Source organism: Homo sapiens, chromosome 14 (assembly GCF_000001405.40).
Source record: "Homo sapiens chromosome 14, GRCh38.p14 Primary Assembly".
NCBI lineage: Eukaryota > Metazoa > Chordata > Mammalia > Primates > Hominidae > Homo > Homo sapiens.
The window spans coordinates 96943053-96945653 of NC_000014.9; the positions used below are offsets into that span (position 1 = coordinate 96943053).

At 52.7% G+C, this 2601-nt stretch overlaps 1 long non-coding RNA gene across 1 annotated transcript; it reads left to right on the forward strand.

The window, feature by feature from the left end:
• Nucleotides 1-526: 526 nt before the first annotated feature.
• On the forward strand, nt 527-2342 carry LINC00618 (long intergenic non-protein coding RNA 618). The gene is made up of 3 exons (NR_104113.1): nt 527-628; nt 1997-2098; nt 2186-2342. It is a non-coding gene; the product is annotated as a long intergenic non-protein coding RNA 618 (long non-coding RNA).
• Nucleotides 2343-2601: the final 259 nt, after the last annotated feature.

Sequence of the window (2601 nt, forward strand, 5' to 3'; positions counted from 1 at the left end):
ACTGCCCAACCCTACCCAAGTACCGAATAACGAGGGATGGAGTTCAGGCCACCTTGCAGGCAAAGTCCTCTGCCAGCTCGTGGACTGCCCCTTGGGTCACTTCGAATACATCGGCATAGACTTGCACTTTGCAGTGCCCCCACCCCCAACTCAGCAGCCCACAGTCAGGCTGGCAAACAGCACCGAGACATTGATAATACAGGGGGTATGTGTGTCAAGGGCACGGGGGGCCTGTGGGCAGCTTGCCCAGGCTGTGCATGGTGGCGAGGCCTGGAAGGTTTTGCAAGGGCAAGGCTTGAGCTAAATCTTGAAGGAGGTTTAGATGTTGGTCAGAAGAAGAGGCGGGGTGGAGGCAAGGCTCACAGAGCTAAATCGTGGCAGGTGGGGACAAGATGGGAACGTGACTTGCCGGGCTGCCTGCCCTGTGCTCATTCTGCCTCACCAAGTGTCCCCTTTCTCCTTAGGAGACCAGAACTGCCTTCTGAATGCCATTATGACTTGACTCAGCTGGGAACCACGAGAGGACGAGATGACATCTCTTCAGGATGGTGTAGAGACGTGGGCGGAGTGTGCAGGGCTGGCGTGCAAGGGGTGGGGACACGTTGCATCCATGGTGCTGTTTGTGCAGGTAAGATGCACAGGTGACAAGGAGGAGGCTGTTTTAAAGCCAAGGCAGGCACCAGTGCCTGGATAGGACTTTTTGGTCCTTGGAACGGGTTCCCCCAGATCTTCGTCTGTGTCTTGGAGAGAGGTCCTCTAGTTCCGCCTAGCCCTGGCTGCCCCAGCCACTGGGATGGAACTCTTTTCAACCACGTGGAAGAAAACCTGCCCCCAGATCTTGCTGGCGTTGCTGCCGTGTGCGACTGCAGAGAGGGCCTGGTTCTTAGCAGACCTTGAAGTGTCCCGCAAAGATTGGAAAGTCCCACATTTGGGTTCATGTTTCTAACAGGTACTGGTCTAACAGGAGGAGTTAAAAGATGGGCCCTAGCTTTCCTGAGCAAGGCAGGTGAAGAGCACAAGATCGTGGGAAGGGTGAGGCTGGCCTGAGGCTTATTTCCCACCCATCAGAGAGGCCAGCAGCTCCATGGCCCCTTCTCCCCCGGAGGGGCTCAGTTGCAGGGAGTCTCTGAGCTGTGCCCCTGAGCCCTTCGCGAAGTCCTAGCCGGAAACCAGGTTCCCACAGCCTCGGGTCCCTGGGGCTCCGGGTCAGCCTGAGCTGGGTTCAGTCCCACTCTCTTCCTGCCATGAGATCTTGGGTGGCTCCCTTTCTTTGAGCCTCAACTTCTCCATCTGTGAAATTGAGACAAATAACATGACCCACTGTATTAGTTTCCCAGGCCTGCCATAACACAAGGCTGCAAAAGAGCAGCTTAAACAGCAGAAACGTCCTGCTTCCCAGGGCTGCAGGCTGGAAGCCTGCGTCAGGGTGTGGGCAGGGCTGTGCTCCCTCTGAAGGCATTGGGGAGGCTCCGTTCCAGGTCTCCCTCTGAGCTTCTCGTAGCTCCTTGGCTTGTGGCTGCAGATCTCTAATCTTCACAGGGTGTGTTCCCTGTGTGCCTGAATGTGTCCAGATATCCCCTTTTATTCTGACAGCGGTCCTATTGGATTAGCTCCTAGCCTAGTCCAGTAGGACCGCATCATAACTATTTACATCTGCAAGGACCTTATTTACAAATGCAGTCACATTCGCTGGCGCTGGGAGTTAGGATTTTGACGTCTTTTTGGTGGGGGCACAATTATACCGGTAACAGAAGGTAAAAATGTATGACCCCTTCCCTCAAGGAGTTCCCAGATATTGATAGAAGCAGAAAATTCTTGTCAGGGGAAGGGGAAAGAAATTTCAGGAAGGTGAATACAACCACACAACTGATAGAAGATAGAGTAGATTCACAGGTGGGACTGTGGGGGGCAGCTCTTTCCCTAAGATCCAGATCCAGAGACAGACAGTGTGACCCCGGAGCAGCTTCTGAATTTCACTTCTTGTCTTCGACTTCAGGTGGCCTCCAGGAGGGCAGTTTCCAGAGATGAATTTCCTTCCCCTTGCCCAGCCCACCACTGCCCAGCCCTGTGGGCTCTGAGGCTGACGGAGAGAGACCTGGTAGGTCACCTCGTCCCTTGTCCCTGGGAAACTCCATGTTACCAGCATGTTATCAGCATGGCTCCGAATCCTATATCCACCCTCCAGCCACACCCCGGGACACTCTGGATCGAAGCCACCCAGCGTCAGAGCTTGGACGATCAAGGTGGACCTACCCGCTCAGAAAGACAGTGGCGCTTCTGTCAAGGGAGACCTCAACGACCTTCCTCTGAAAAGAAAAATGTCCTTGCAAGTAGGTAAATGAAAAAAAAAAGAAAAACAAAAAAAAGATTTTCATTTCAAAATAATCTTCATTACCTGAGGATTGCAAGAATTGTCATTTCAATTATGCTGACGTCTATTCTTAGAAGGAGGTATAATGGCTTTCCCCTTCCAAGCTGGAGTGACTGTCATTATGTGTGGGATGTACTCCATTGCTTAACTCCCTGCCATTAGAAACGTTTAGTGGAGACACTGGCTGATTTTTCTTTTTCTTTTGCTTCGCTCAACCCTCCAACTCCTCT